Genomic DNA, 16799 nt, shown 5'->3' on the forward strand with positions numbered 1-16799 from the left:
ATATAAGAGTTCCCCCTTTTCCATGTTCTCAGCAGCATTTTTTATTTTTTATCTTTGGTAATAGCCATCCTAACTGAGGTGAAATTATATCTCATTGTGGTTTTGATTTGCATTTCCCTGATTAGTGATGTTGAGCATTTTTTCATATACTTGGCCATTTGTATGTCTCCTTTTGAGGGATGTCTATTCACCTTATTTACCCATTTTAAAATCAGATTTTTTATTTTTATTTTTTTTGCTATTGAGTTCCTTTTATATTCTGGATATTAATCCCTTTCAGATGAATAGTTTGCAAATATTTTATCCCACTCTACTAGTTGTCTCTTCATTCTGTTGTTTCCTTTGCTGTGCAGAAGTTTTTTAGTTTAATATAATCCCTTTGTTTATTTGTGCTTTTGTTACCTTGATTTTCAGGTATTCATAAAATCCTTGCCCAGACCAATATCCAGAAGCATTTCCCCTATGTTTTCTTCTGTAGTTTCATAGTTTTTGCTCTTACATTTAAGCTTTCAAACCATTTTGAGTTGATTATCCTGAGAGCATAGATTCAAATTGCCCTAAAAATACATTCCCAATTTTTGTTTTTGCTTTTTAATTATTTTTTAGAGACATAGTCTCACCACATTGCCCAGCTTGGTCCTGAACTCCTGGACTCAAGTGAGCCACAACTCAGCCTTCTGAGTAGCTAAGATTACAGGTATGAGCCAGCATACTTGGTGTTTTGAGTTGATTTTTGTGTATGGTGAGAGATGAGTCTACTTTCATTCTTCTGCATATGAATATCCAGTGTCCCAGCACCATTTATTGAAGAGACTGTCCTTTTCCCAGTGAATGTTCTTTGTGCCTTTGTTAGAAATCAGTTGGCTGTAAATGGGATTTATTCCTGGGCTCTCTGTTTTGTTCCATTGGTTTGTGTGGTTTTTAAAAAATACCTGAACCATGCTGTTTTGGTTACCATCACTTTGTAGTATATTTCAAGGTCAGGTAGTGTGATGACTCCCATTTTGTTCTTTTTGCTTAGGATTGCTTTGGATATTCAGTATCTTCTGTGATATCATGAATTTTAGGATTACTATTTCTATTTCTGTGAAAAATGTCATTGGTATTTTGTTAAGAGTGCATTGAATCTGTAGATCACTTGAGGTAGTATGTTCATTTTTTTTCATAAGCTATCTCTTACAGGAAAGTATGTTCATTTTTATAGTAACCATTCTAATCCATGACCATGGGATGTTTTTCCTTTTTTATGTGTGTCCTCTTTGATTTACTTCATCAGTGTTATATAGTTTTCCATGTATTCTTATTTTATTTTTGTTGAAGTATTGTAAATGGGATGGCTTTCTTGATTTCTTTTTCAGCTAATTCATTGTTGGTGTATAGAAATGCTGCTGATTTTTGCATGTTGATTTTATATCCTGCAAGTTCAGTGAATTTATCAGTCCTAAGATTTTTTTGGTGCCACTTTTGGAGTTTAGGGTTTTCTATATATTTGATCCTGTCATGTGCATACAGGGATAATTTGACTTCATGCTTCCTGATCTGCATGCCCTTTATTTCTTTGTCTTGCCTGATTACTCTGTCTCAGACCTTTTGTACTTTGTTAAAAGGTGTGAAAGTGGGCATACTTGTTTTGTTTCAGATTATAGAGAGAAAGCTTTCAGCACTTTCCCATTATGCATGATGTTAGCTGTGGGTATGTTACTTATTACCTTTATTATGTTGAGGTACGTTCTTTCTATTATTATTATAATTTTTTTTAATTTTTTTTTTGAGATGGAGTCTCGCTCTGTCGCCCAGCTGGAGTGCAGTGGCATGATCTCAGCTCACTGCAAGCTCCGCCTTCTGGGTTCACACCATTCTCCTGCCTCAGCCTCCCAAGTAGCTGGAACTACAGGTGCCCACCACCATGCCTGGCTAATTTTTTGTATTTTTAGTAGAGATGGGTTTTCACCATGTTAGCCAGGATGATCTTGATCTCCTGACCTCGTGATCCGCCCGCCTCGGCCTCCCAAAGTGCTGGGATTACAGGTGTAAGCCACCGCGGCCGGCCCATTCTTTCTATTATTATGTGTAATTTGTTAAGAGTTTTCATCATGAGGGGATATTGAATGTTACCAGAGGCTTTTTCTCCACCTATGGAGATAATCACATTTTTTGTTCTTCATTCTGTTGATTTATCATGTTTATTGTTTTGTGTATGTTGAACCCATTCTTGCATCCCTAGAATGAATTCCACTTGGTCATGGTAAACAATCTTTTTGATGTACTTTTGGATTTGGTTGGCTAGTATTTTGTTGAGGAGTTTTGCATTTATGTTCATCAGGAATATTGGCCTGTAGTTTTCTTTTGCATGTGTGTGTCCTTATCTGGTGCTTGTGTCATGGTAATGCTGGCTTGTGGAGTGAGTTTAGAATAATTCCCTCCTCTTCATTATTCTGGGAAAGTTTGAGAAGAATTCATATTTAATTCCCCTAAAATGTTTGGTAGAATTCAGCAGTGAAGCCATGAGATCATGGACTTTCCTTTGATGGGTGACTTTTTATTACTGCTTAAATCTTGTTACTCAGAATTGGTCAATTGAAATTTTCTGTTTCTTCTAGGTTCAATCCTGATGGGTTGTATGTGTCTAGGAATTTATTTTCTGTAGGTTTTCCAACTTTTTGGTTTGTAGTTGTTCATAATAGTCTCTAATGACTCTGTATTTTTGTGGTATCAGTTGCAGTGTCATTTTTGTATGTGTTTGATTTTGAGTCTTTTCTCTTGGTTAGTCTAATGGTTTCTTTTCAAAAAATGAACTTTTCATTTTGTTGATCCTTTGAATTTTTTTTTAAGTCTCAGTTTTATTTATTACTCTTCTGATCTTTATTAATTCTTTCCTTGTAATTTTGGGTCTGATGTGTTCTTTTCTAGTTCCTTGAGAAGCATTGTTAGATTTTTCTTTTTTCTTTTTTTCTTTTTTTAAGAGACAGGGTCTTACTGTGTTACGTAGGCTGGAGTGTAATGGTACAATCAACTCAAACTCCTGGGCTCAAGTGATCCTCACACCTCAGTTTTGAATTCTTGGGCTCAAGCAGTTCTCCCACCTCTGCCTCCAGAATAGCTAGGACTACTGGTATGCGCTATCATGACCAGCTAATCTTTTTTTTTTTTTTTTTTTTTTTTTTTTTTTTTTTTTTAGAGATAAGGTCTTGCTATATATATGGCCCAGGCTGGTCTTGACCCAGCATCAAGTCGTCCTCCTGCCTTGCGCTCCCAAAGCACTGGGATTACAGGTGTGAGCCACCATGCCCAGCCAGATCTTTCTTGTTTTTGATGTAGGTGTTTATTACTAAATACTTCCCTCTTAAAACTGCTCTTGCTGCATCCCATACATTTTTATATGTTGTGTTTCTGTTTTCACTCATTTTAAGACATTTAAATTTTGTTTCTTAATTTCTTCATTACCCATTGGTCATTCAGAATCATGTTATTTAATTTCCATTTATTTGTGCTGCTTTAAAAGTTCCTCTTGTTATTGATTTCTAGGTTTATTTCATTGTGGTCAGAAAGGTACTTGATGTGATTTTAATTCTTTTAATTTTTGTGATTTGTTTTGTGGTTTAACATGTGGCCTCTCCTTGAAAATATTGCATGTGCTTATGAAAAAAAATATGTATTCTGTAGCTGTTGGATGAAAAGATCTGTTAGTGTCTTTTAAGTCCATTTGGTCTAAAGTCAGTTTAAACTTGGTGTTTCTTTGTTGATTTTCTATGTATATGATCTGTCCATTGCTGAAAGTAGGGTGTTGAAGTCCACAAGTATTATTGTATTATTGTATTGTCTTCCCCTTTAGATCTAATAATATTTGCCTTACATATCTGGGTGCTCTGATATTGGGTGCATATATATTTACAATTTTTGTATCCTCTTCCTGATTTCATCCCTACTGTGTTTGATACAAAGTCTCTTATCGTAAGTATAGCTACTCCTTATATAGTCATGATTGTGGTAAAAAAAAAAAAAAAAGAAAAGAAAAAAGAAAAAAAATGTATAGCTACTCCTGCTTGCTTTTGGTTTCCATTTGCATGGAATATATTCTATTCCTTCGCTTTCAGTCTGTGTCTTTTTTTTTTTTTTTTTTTTCCAGACATAGTCTCGCTCTGTCACCCAGGCTGGAGTGCAGTGGTGCTATCTTGGCTCACTGCAACCTCTGACTCCTGGGTTTAAGCATTTCTCCTGCCTCACCCTCCCGAGTAGCTGGGACTACAGGTGTGCGCCACCACACCCGGCTAATTTTTGTATTTTTAGTAGAGATGGGGTTTCACTATGTTGGCCAGGCTGGTCTCGAACTGACCTCAGGTGATCCACCCGCCTCAGCCTCCCAAAGTGCTGGGATTACAGGTGTGAGTCACTGCGCCTGGCCATATTTGTGTCTTTAGAGGTGAAGTGAGTTTCTTATAGGTAGCATATAGTTGGGTCATTTTAAAAACCCATTTAGTATATATCTTTTAAGGTAGGAATTTAATCTGTTTACCTCAAGGTTATTATTTTTAAGTGAAGACTCCTTTCATTTTGTGGTTTTCAGAATGTTTTGTATATCCTTTGTTCTTTTCTTCATCTCTTATTTTTTATCATTGTATTTTGGTGGTTTTCTGTAGTGATAAGATTTGATTTTTTTTTTCTCTTTTTTCTTTGCCTATCTGCTCTACCAGTGAGTCTTATACTTTTATGTGGTTACATAATGGTGATTATTGTCTTCTTATTTCCCGATATAGCATTCCCTTGATCATTTCTTGAAAGGCTGGTGTAGTGGTGATAAATTCCCTTAATTTTTGCTTGCCTGAGACACACTTTATTTCTACCTAATTTTTCTCTTTCTTTTTTTTTTTTAAGTGGAGTTTCACTCTCTTGCCCATGCTGGAGTGCAGTGGCATGATCTTGGCTCACTGCAGCCTCCACCTCCCAGGTTCAAGCGATTCTCCTGTCTCAGCCTCTGGAGCAGCTGGGATTACAGGCGCATGCCACCATGCCTGGTTAATTTTTGTATTTTTGTAGAGATGGGGTTTCACCATGTTGGCCAGGCTGGTCTTGAACTCCTGACCTCAAGTAATTCGCCTGCCTCAGCATCCTAAAATACTGGGATTATAGGCATGAGCCACTGTGGCTGGCTATTTCTACCTAATTTCTGATGGATTGGTTTGCTGTGCATAGTATTTTTGACCGATATTTTTTCTTTTCTTTCAGAAATTTGGATATATCATCCCATTTTTTCCTGGCCTGTGAGGTTTCTGCTGTTATTCTAATGAAGATTCCCTTATATATGACTTGATGCTTTTCTACTGGTACTTTTGGATTTTTCTCTTTGTCTTTGACTTTTGTCAGTTCAAATATAATGTGCCTTGGAGGTGACCTTTTTGGGGATCTTTGAGCTTCCTGGATCTGAATGTCCATATCTCTCGCAAGACTTGGGAGGTTTTTAGCTATTATTTCATTGTCTTTTTCGTTTTCTTTTATTTTTAATCTTGCTGTGATCTCCTTAGCAGCTATAATTTCATTAAATATGTTTTATTTTTTTAATTTTTTTTTTTTTGAGACAGAGTCTCGCACTGTCGCCCGGGCTGGAGTGCAATGACGCAGTCTTGGCTTACTGCACCCTCCGCCTCCTGGGTTCATGCGATTCTCTGGCCTCAGCCTCCCAAATAGCTGGGATTACAGGTGCACACCACCACACCCAGCTAATTTTTCGTACTTTTAGTAGAGACGGGGTTTCGCCATGTTGGCCAGACTGGTCTTGAACTCCTAACCTCATGATCCACCTGCCTTGGCCTCCCAAAGTGCTGGGATTACAGGCGTGAGCCACCACGCCTGGCCTGTTTTATTTAAAAAGTTGTATTAAATATATATTTTTTTCTTTTTTTCTTTTTTTTTTGAGACGGCATTTTCACCCTTCTTGCCCAGGCTGGAGTGCAACGGTGCAATCTTGGTTCACTGCAACCTCTGCCTCTCAGGTTCAAGTGATTCTCCTGCCTCAGCCTCCCGAGTAGCTGGGATTACAGGCACCCACCACCATGCCTGGCTAATTTTTTGTATTTTTGGTAGAGACGGGGTTTCGCCATGTTGCCCAAGCTGGTCTCAAATTCCTGACCTCAGGTGATCCACCCACCTCAGCCTCCCAAAGTGCTAGGATTACAGGTGTGAGCCACCGCACCCGACCTGTTAAATATATTTTCTATGCCTTTTGTCATCTCTTTGCCTTCTGGAACTCTAAAAATATGAAATTTTTTTCCCTTGATGTTATCTAATAAGTCTGGTAGGCTTTCTTCACTCCTTGTCATTCTTATTTATTCTTCTCTCACTGGTAATTCCAAACAAACTCTTTATCTTTCTTTGCTTGAGTAAGTTTGCTATTGATGCTCTCTATTGTACCTTATATTTTATACATTAAATTCTTCAGCTGCAGGATTCCTGTTTGGTGATTTTAAAATATTTCTTTCTTAAATTTCTCTTTCATGTTATGAATTGTTTTTCTGATTTTATTGAATTATCTTTCTGTATTATCTTGTATCCTATTGAGGGTTTTTTGTTTGTTTGTTTGTTTGTGAGACAGAGTGTCACTCTGTCACCTAGGCTGGAGTGCAGTGGCGTGATCTTGGCTCACAACAATCTTTGCCTTCCAAGTTCAAGTGATTCTCCTGCCTCAGCCTCCCAAGTAGCTGGGACTACAGGTGTGCACCACCACACCCAGTTAATTTTTGTATTTTTAGTAGAGACAGGGTTTCACCATGTTGGCCAGGCGGGTCTTGAACTCCTGACCTCAAGTGACTCGCCCACCTTGGTGTCCTAAAGTGCTGGAATTACAGGTGTGAGTCACTGCACCTGGCCTTGTTGAGTTTTTAAAAGATCATTATTTTGAATTACTTTTTTGGTAATTGGTAGATTTCCTTCTAGCTTGTTAACGGAAAGTTATTGTGTTCCTTTCATGGTGACACATTTCCTTGCCTTTTCATGTTTCTATTGTCCCTGCATTGATGTCTGTGCATCTGGTGAAACAATGGCGTCTTCCCATTTTTCTACAGTCACTTTCATAGAGGCTTTCACCTGCACTTGGTCCTTAGTGTGCTAGTTGAGAAGGGTGTAGTAACTCTGTTTCCAGATAAGTGAAATGGTATAGTCTTTGTTCAGCTTTATCAACAGTATTTAATGTTGGCAGTAACTTTGTTTTCCTCAGTGGCCTAGGTTGTAAAAGTTTGTAGCAGTAATGGCATAGGTTGTTAATGGCAAGGGCTTTTTTGGAGTCCTCCTATTTTCATTTGCCCCACAATGAAGTTACTTAGCCATGAAGATACTTCTTGCTGTCAAGTATGATATGGCCTATAGGCAGGTACAGTGGCTCTGGGTTCCAGGTGCAGGTGCTCAGGGCAGCTGTGGGTCTGGGGTTCTAGGCTCAGCATCTGATGAACCTATTGTGGCACCTGGGTTTTGAGCTATAGATTTGCTCCATGTGGTAGAATTGGAGGTAGGTTTACCACAGAGCCAAGATCTGTAACTCTGATGTACTCCCTAGCAGCTTGGGCCCAAAGGGCCAGGTTGTAGCTTTTTGTTTCTGGGCGGCCAGGCACAGCACAGGCCCAACTCTAGGGAAGAAGTGGTGCTTTGGAGTATTGGGCCAAGGAAACAGAATACAGCTGCAGTTTGGTAACCTGAACCATTCAGGCTCATTGGCAACTTGGGTTTCTGGCATAGCACAGTTTTTGTTTGGGCCTTGGGCAATAGGGAGCAGCCCAGTGATGACTCAGCTCCCCAGGGAGAAAGCTGTCTCAGCAGCCCATACTTCAGGGTGTTAGTCCTGCCCCCTGGCAGCTGGTTATCCAGCTAGCTCCCTAAAGTGAGTACTAGAGTTGTTTGGCCTGTAGTGTGGGGTGTCTCATCTCATGCCCTGCTTTGTTTCCCTGGAATGTGAAGGCCCATGCCAGCTCAGCCCAGTATTGCATAGCTACTCAGTTCAGGCAAGGCACTGCATCCCCAGAGGGTAATGTGCCTCGTCAGCTCAGGTCTAGGGTGTGTGACCTTAGGTTGGCCCAGGCACCATTTTCCTGGGATGCAGGAAGCTGCTTCAGATTAGGTACTGGACTGTGTGTCTGCTTGGGATGGCCAAGACACTGTTACCTGGAAGGCAGGGTGGTAGGTAGGGTGCTGCTTAAACTTAGGCACTGGGGAGGCATGACTGCTCTCGATGGCCAAAGTACTGTTTTCCCAGGAGACAAGGTACTGCTTCAGCTCAGGTACAGAGGGGTGTGACTGCTCTGGATGGTTAATGCACTGTTTTCCCAGGATGCCTGGCATTGCTTCAGCTCTGGCCTAGAGGGGCAGGATGTAGCAGCATCTGGGAGGGGTAGGTGGAGGAGCTTCGCCAAGGCATCCTTTCCTCAGGAGGCAATGTGCAGCTTCAGCTCAGGTCCCTGGAAGCAGGGCAGTTTTGGGAGAAGTAGACTGAGAGGTAGACAGTGAGAGGTGGATGTTGCACATCTGCCAGAGCATTGTTTTCCCAGGAGGGAGTGCACAGCTTCAGCTCTAGTCGAAGGTGACAGGACACAGCCTAGCATAGGGACTTGAGGGGTAGGTGGTGCAGCTCTCCCACTGCATGGCCCTACATGGGAAGGTGGAAAAGCTGCTTGTAGATGTTGGGCCACCAGGTGGGGGTGGATGGTGATGGCTTATCCTCAGGGATGAAGAGGTGCCATGGAACCAGACAGAACTCCAGCCGTTCCAAAATAACAGCACAGTAGCTGTATGGGCCACTGGGGGCAGGACAGTGTCAGCTCCTTCCTCAGGAGCACAGCTGTATGGACTCCAGGCGGGTCCGTCAGCTAAGCTTAGTGCCTGTGAGGGCTGTAGGGGACCCCAGTGGTGAGTACTGTAGGTGTCCAAGGTGGTGATGTACGCTGCTGGTATGCTATTGCTCACTTTTTCCACATACGGAGAAATTCCTTCTGGTTTTCAGCTGATCTTGGCTGGGGGATGGGGTTGTGGAGACCAGGTGTTCCATTCTCTGCTTGGCTATCCTGAGTTTCTGTGCTCACCAGAGTTTTTGTTATTACTTTGACATATTCTGGTGCTTTCCTTTAGTTATTTGCATTAAAATGTATTTGCTTATTTATTTTGGCTCTGTGGGGGTGGGGAGAACAGCATTTACGGACTGCTAATCTGCCTTCTTGCTGAAGTCACTCTCTTGCTACAGATATTTGGTTGGAAACATTTTCGTTTGTATTCTGTAAATAACTAGGAGTAGAATTGCTGTGTCATATGATATGTGTATATTTACCTGTATAGGAAACTGCCAAGTTGTTTTCCAAAATGGCTGTACCATTTTGATTTCTCACCAGTATTTTGTGGGAGCTCCAGTCCTACATCTTTTTGAGCACTTGGTTTTGTTACACTTTAAGTTTTTCAATTTAACAGATGTGTAGAGGTGTCTCATTGTGGATTTAAATTTCATTGCTGAAATGACTACTGGTATTGAGCATTTTTTCATATGTTCATTGTTCATATATCTTTAGTTATCTTTCCAAATCTTTTTTTTTTTTTTCTTGAGACGGAGTTTCGTTCTTGTTGCCCAGGCTGGAGTGCAATGGTGAGATCTCAGCTCACCACAACCTCCGTCTCCCAGGTTCAAGCAGTTCTCCTGCCTCAGCCTCCCAAGTAGCTGGGATTACAGGCCCCCACCACAACGCCCAGCTAATTTTTTTATTTTTTGTAGAGATGGGGTTTCACCATGTTGGCCAGGCTGGTCTTGAACTCCTGACCTCAGGTGATCCGCCCACCTCAGCCTCCCAAAGTGCTGGGATTACAGGCGTGAGCCACTGCACCAGACCCTATCTGTCCAAATCTTTTGTCCCACTTTAAATTGTTTTTTCTTCTTAACATTGAATTTTAAGAATTCATTGTATCTTTTAATATTCTGAATGCTAGTTATTTGTCAGATACATGTTTTGCAAACCATTTATCTGTATTTGGTTTCTTTTTGTTATCTTAGCAGTGTATCCTGAAGAATAGTTTTAAATTTTGATGTAATCCAAAATATTTCGGTTGTTTGTGTTCTTTGTTATCCTATTTTTGTTGTTGTTGTTTTATAGATATGGGGGTCTCACTACGTTGCCCAGGCTGGTCTTGATCTCCTGAACTCAAGTGATCCTCCCACCTCAGCCTCCCATCCTTGTCTACCTAATTAGGCTTTGTGTAACTCAGTGTTGCAAAGCTTTGACATCTGTTTGAGTTAATGTTTATATATGTTGTTACTTAAGGGTTTCACATTAAATTTAAACATACTTATATTTTATAACCAAACAAGTCATGTTGGGGCATACTCATTAGGATTGAGTGCTTTCTTACACCAAAATACATGTATACAAAGATTTAAAACACTTTCGGCCGGGCGCGGTAATCCCAGCACTTTGGGAGGCCGAGGCGGGTGGATCACAAGGCTAGGAGATCAAGACCATCTGGCTAACACGGTGAAACCCTGTCGCTACTAAAAAAATACAAAAAATTAGCCAGACGTGGTGGCAGGCGCCTGTAGTCCCAGCTACTCGGGAGGCTGAGACAGGAGAATGGCATGAACCCGGGAGGCAGAGCTTGCAGTGAGCCGAGATCACCCCACTGCACTCCAGCCTGGGCGACAGAGTGAAGGCTATGTCTCAAGAAAAAAAAAAAAAAACTTTTATAATAACAACTGTAAATAGTTCAATTGACAGTCATTTGTAAGATGTTTAAGTAAACTGTGAAACAGTAAGTAAATGGATGAAAACACACTGATTAAAACTGCTGCTTTTATCCAACAAGATGGATGAATTTCCCAGGAAAGAATACTTGAGTTCAGGCCTGTTCAAGTCCCAACCTGTTTGTGGTTTGAGGTTGCTCTCTGCCTCGTAGAGCAAAGTGGAAAATTTATCTTCTGGGAGGACAGAGTTTTCTTCTCTGAAAAAGTTTCCTACATAGTTGGCTTTGGCATTTGCAAGGAATGAAAGGTCAGGGATTGAGGCCTCATGAGTCTGGATTTCTAGCTGAGGTTGAGAGAAAAGGTAGTGATTGTAACCAGAAAATCCAGAGTGGGTGTATTTACCTCCAGAACTCATCACTTAAAAAAAAATTTTTTTTGAACTGACATGCTTGAGGCTTTTTCTTTTTTTTTTTTTTGAGATGGGGTCTTGCTCTATCCCCCAGGCTGGAGTGCAGTTGTGCAGTCATAGCTCACTGTAGCCTTATCCTCCTGGCCTAAGCAGTCCTCCTGCCTCAACCTCCCTAGTAGCTGAGACCACAGGCGCATGCCACCTGTGAGTTTCTAGAGATGAGGTCTCCCTATGTTCCCCAGCCTGGTCTTGAACTCCTGGGCTCAAGTGATCCTCCTGCCTCAGCCTTCCAAAGTGTTGGATTACAGGCGTGAGCCACTGTGCCTGGCCAGAGCTCATCACTGTTAACTCAGCCTGGGTTTTTCACAGCAGTCATGGAAATAGATTCATTAATAATAGTAACAAATATATAGTCTCCCTCTCAAAGAAACCTTGAGTGGCAGTGGCATACCAGATACACAGTAGGAAATACTGTAGAATTATGTTGTTAAGTTCATAACCAAACATCATACATGATGATAAAAGACAAGATAATGGTCACATTTATGCAGTATTAACTGAGAGGGCAAATTTGTGCCTGAGAAGCTATTGGGAATGTTCTCTCTCTTTGCATTACTAGGAATTACATGGGAAACACATGTAGACAGTCTTCAGGCTATTAAGATTTGTCCACTTAATCTTTACTTATACATGAATAAAAAATGGGAAAACATGATAAATATAATAAACTAATACACTCAACCCTGCCCCTTGATTATATAATAGAACAAAATCAGCATGCCCGGCATGAGCCTGCCAGATTGCCAATTCCATCCTCCACCTTCAGAGGATGCCGCCATCCAGAATTTTGCCTTACTCATTTTACTTTCTTCATAGTTCGACACCTTAAATGTATATTACTAATAGTAGCTTTGCATTTTTGGCTGATTTAAAAATTGATATAAATGAAATAATGCTGTAGAGATGCTTTTTGGTATTAAGTGGATATACTGTTATTCTTAAAGATGTTTGAAATGAATATACCTTTCTAAATATCTTTTTAAAATAATACATTAAATGATACTGCTTTAGAATTCATGAACTGCATCTCATGAGAATATGTAGAGATGACGTGGGCAGGTAAAGTAAAACTTCAGGTTGAATATCCTATGATAATTTAAAAATGACAAAATAGTGTGGTGAATAATAGAGCTTGAGCACTTTAAGGCACCGTAGGGACCCCTTCAATGTAATGATGACAGTGCTGAGGTGCAGAGAAGTTAGGTAATCAGCCCAAGCCACTACTCTAAGGACAGACCCTATCTACTTTTCCTAATTTGTCAGAAGACTGCCTATGATACTACTAATAAAAAGTCCTATGAAATTGGTATTGTCATTATTTTACAAATAAAATAATCTTCAATTTTTGTTTCCTCTATGCATGGGTTACTTAGTATTTTGTAATTTGAATTTCAAGCATAATTAAAAAGAAATCAGGTATCTAGGCTGGGCATGATGGCTCAAGCCTGTAATCTCAACATTTTGGGAGGCTGAGGCAAGAGGATCACTTGAGGCCAGGAGTTTGAGGTATCTTTTGTTGATCTCTACACTGATTGTATTCTCTCTTTTATTCTATGAAAGTTAAAGATTTTTTCTGATACTACATATTGTCAGTTTTTTAAATACTCAGTTTGTGCTAAAAGAAAACATTCGGCAACTGATATCTGCTGTTCTGTATGTATCTGTCAGTCCAGATTTGTCCATTATGGTGTATGAATCTAATAGAACCTCACCAATGTTATACCTGCCTTCTTGAAATCATTACTGAGATAGCTAATATTAAAATATCCTGGTTTGTCTGTATATTTAATTCTTTACTCTCATTATACTAAATTTTTTTAATGTAATTTGAATTGATGGTAAAAATTGTATACAGGCCGGGTGCAGTGGCTCACTCCTATAATCCCAGCATTTTGGAAGTCCTATGCAGGAGGATTGCCAGAGGCCAGGAATTTGAGATCAGCCTGGGCAACATAGTGAAACTCTCATCTTTATAAAAAGTAATATTAAAATTTTTAAAAGTGTATAAACTGTAAAGTATATTTTACTGGTGTTTTCTTCCTTATTCCTACTTGTCAGATGCAAATACACATTTTTGTGTGTTTGTGTTTAGTAATTATAAGTATACATATTTCATTCTTCTATTTCATATATTTCTATGACATTATATCTTAGATGTGTAATTTATGAACTACTACTGGATTATTTTAATCCATTAGAAATTACTATTCACGCATTCTGTATTCAATTCATGTGATAGCTAATATATTTGGTTTTAAATGCATCTTATTTTGTGGTTTTCTTCTAGGCTGTTTTTTGTGCTTTCTTTTAAAAATATATAGGTTTTAATAATCTTAATTTTCTTTTAGTTTGAAATGTATATACTCATTTTATTCATTAGTCTAAGATAAGAATTGTAACACTTCTCTAACCTATTATAGAATTGTTAATACCTTTACCCTTCTCTTGAACACATCAAAGGATGTCATTGAGTGTTGGTATTGGAGTATAGCATATCTATTATTCTGCTCAATTAGAAGATATTGTTCATGTTGTATAGAGATAATAAGTAATTGTATTGATCTGCAGATGCATCCATCTCTTGGATTCTCATTCCTTCTACCACTGCAGAACTTTCACCTGTAATCACTTTCCTTTGGCCTTAAGGATAACTTTTAGGGTTACTTTTCTACTAAATTTCCAATTTTTGACCAGATATAATCTTATATTGTGCTCTTCCTGAAAAATACTATTGTTGTGGATAGAAATCTGGGTTGGTAGTTATTTCTTCAGCAATTTGACCATGTCATTCCACTGTGTCCCTGGCCTCCTGTATACTGGATGTGAATGGATACAATTATATATTGTGTTTATAGTTTTCCTGTGCTATAGGAACAGTATTCGAATCTGATGCAAAGGACAACACACCCTAGAGATTGTAACAGTGAGATGAACCAAGTGATTGGATGGGGTTTTGAGTTGCTGGAATAATGGAGTTACAGTGTACAATGCATAAGCAACATAATAAATTATATATCTGGTGAACAAATGGATGGATTGTGCCATGAACTGGTTAGATGCTTACCCACATGTCACAGAAGGTCTTCACTTGCAAGGAGGGTGGGAAATACCTCTTGGTCAGCTCTCAACTTGTGCAGCATCAGGCCTCTTTCAATGGGGAAGAGCCACACAGGAGCAATGAGAGTGGGGAGGCTTTTCACACTGGACAAAGGGATTCCAAGTACAGCAATTGTGGGAAAGCCTTTTGCTGCAAATACATACTTTTTCAGTATCAGAAAATCCATGCTGGAGTAAACCCTTATGAGTGCAGTCAGTGCTGGCATACCTTTAATAACAGCTACTATTCTATAGTTACCCAAGAGAATTCACAGCAAAGCTGTGCCTTATGAGTGCAGTGATTATGGGAAATTATTTGGCTCCAGCTCTAATCTCCATATACACCAAATAGTTCACACAGGATCAAGGCTTTAAGAGTGTGTTGGCCAGGCATGGTGGTTCACACCTGTAATCCCAGCACTTTGGGAGGCTGAGGCAGGCGGACCGCAAGGTCAGGAGTTCGAGACCAGCCTGGCCAACATAGTGAAACCCCGTCTCTAGTAAAAAAATACAAAAATTAGCTGGGCGTGGTGGTGCGCGCCTTTAGTCCCACCTACTCGGGAGGCTGAGGCAGGAGAATTGCTTGAACCTGGGAGGCAGAGGTTGCAGTGAGCCGAGATCACGCCACTGCTCTCCAGCCTGGGCAACAGAGCGAGACTCTGTCTCAAAGAAAAAAAAAAAAAGTGCTGAATGTGAGAAAGCCTCTATCACTAGACCTCATCCTGTTTAGCACCAGAGAATTCATAGTGGAGAAGACCTTATGAGTGCAGATCATGTGGCAAATTCTTTATAAAGACACATTTGTTGAGTACCAGAAAGTCCACAATGGAAAAATATCTTCTCAGTGTGGTGAACGTGAGACATTCTAAAGCCACAATTCTTACCGTGGTTAGGCTTTGTGTCCCCACCCAAATCTCATCTTGAATTGTAATCCCCATAATCCCCAGTGACCAGGGTAGGACCTGGTGGGTGGTGATTAGATCATGGGGGCAGTTTCCCCCATGCTCTTCTCCTATAGTGAGTTCTCACAAGATCTAAGGGGTTTTTTGTTTGTTTGTTTGAAACGGAATCTTGCTCTGTTGGCCAGGCTGGAGTGCAGTGGCATGATCTTGGCTCACTGCAACCTCCGCCTCCTGAGTTCAAGTGACTCTCCTGCCTCAGCCTCCCAAGTAGCTGGGACTACAGGTGTGCGCCACCAGGCTCAGCTAATTTTTGAATTTTTAGTAGAGACGGGGTTTCGCCATGTTGGCCAGGCTGGTCTCGAACTCTTGACCTCAGGTGATCCACCCATCTCAGCCTCCCAAAGTGCTAGCATTACAGGCATGAGCCACCGAGCCCAGCCCTCAATCTGATGGTTTTATAAGGGGCTCTTTCCTGTTCGCTCGTTCGCTCTCTCTCACCTGCCTCCACGTAAGACGTGTCTTTGCTTCTCTCTTGCCTTCTGCCATGATTTTAAGTTTCCTGAGGCCTCCCGAGCTATGCAGAACTGTAAGTCAATTAAACCTCTTTCCTTTATAAATTACCCAGACTCAGGTATGTCTTTATAGCAGTGTGAGAATGGAGTAATGGACTATCTTGTAACATGTTAGAGAATTCACAATGGAACAAGATCTTGTGTGTTCAGGAAATGTGGGAAAGCAGAAATTCCCACATTGCTTGGCAAATGAAAGTCAACCAGAGAAAGGCCTTTTGTAGCAGATATAAGAAAGCATACAGTGAAGGCCTAACCTCATTAGGCATCAGAAAATTTACACTGGAGAGAGGCCTTAAGAGTTCATGGAATGTGCTCATTGTTTAACATGGCATGATCCTAAGAGAAAATCTCTGAGAGTAACCTTTGAGAGGGAGCTCTAAGCCAGGATTTGAACCTCAGACATATGTGTATTCACACTGTGGAGATTACCTACAACTGCATGAGTGATCAGAAACAAATGGGGTCCTCATCTATTTCCCCTTAGTGGTTTCAGCGTGGATATTATCCAGCTGCAGCCTAAAAGATCTGAGCTGGGGCCTGCTGTGGATTTCAAGAGGTCCCCATCCTTAATAAACAGTGTTGACCCCACATGGTAGCTGAGATGGATTTCTCCAACCAGCTTCCCAATCCACCAACCTTAGATATGCCCACCTCATGATGTTCTCATTTGTGCAGAGATAAATGCCATAGTGTTTAACCCTTCAATCTGTTCTGTTCATTGTGTGGGACTGATTGAGAAAAGAAGGGCTTTGCTAGCAGGGACCACCAACTTTATGTGCCTCAGAGTGGACAGCAGGATGGTAGAGAGTAGCTCTAAGTCTAGTTTGGCCTGTTTTGCAATGCTACGCAACGTCTCTTAGGGAAAACTGTAGGGCATTGTGAGACTGATCTTGTGACCTGGATGTCAGGATCTCTGTGAGCCCTAAGCTCACCCTCATGAGGGAGTAGTTGGTGTGACAACCTCCAGTGCTTCTAGAAACAGCATAAGTTGAGTCCCTTTTTCCCAGAGGATGTGTCATATTCCATCAATTCTGTTGAGGGGTGGCTGTCTCCTAGGACCTCTA

General features: G+C 40.5%; 1 annotated feature.

The window, feature by feature from the left end:
- Positions 8274-8773: an enhancer, noted in NCBI's record as "H3K27ac hESC enhancer chr19:57814007-57814506 (GRCh37/hg19 assembly coordinates)". NCBI's record gives its function as "activates a minimal SCP1, AML or CMV promoter by ChIP-STARR-seq in primed H9 embryonic stem cells {active_cell/tissue: H9 hESC(primed)}" and the evidence as "EXISTENCE:reporter gene assay evidence [ECO:0000049][PMID:30033119]".

The sequence above is a fragment of the Homo sapiens genome, chromosome 19 (genome assembly GCF_000001405.40).
Source record: "Homo sapiens chromosome 19, GRCh38.p14 Primary Assembly".
NCBI classification, from domain to species: domain Eukaryota; kingdom Metazoa; phylum Chordata; class Mammalia; order Primates; family Hominidae; genus Homo; species Homo sapiens.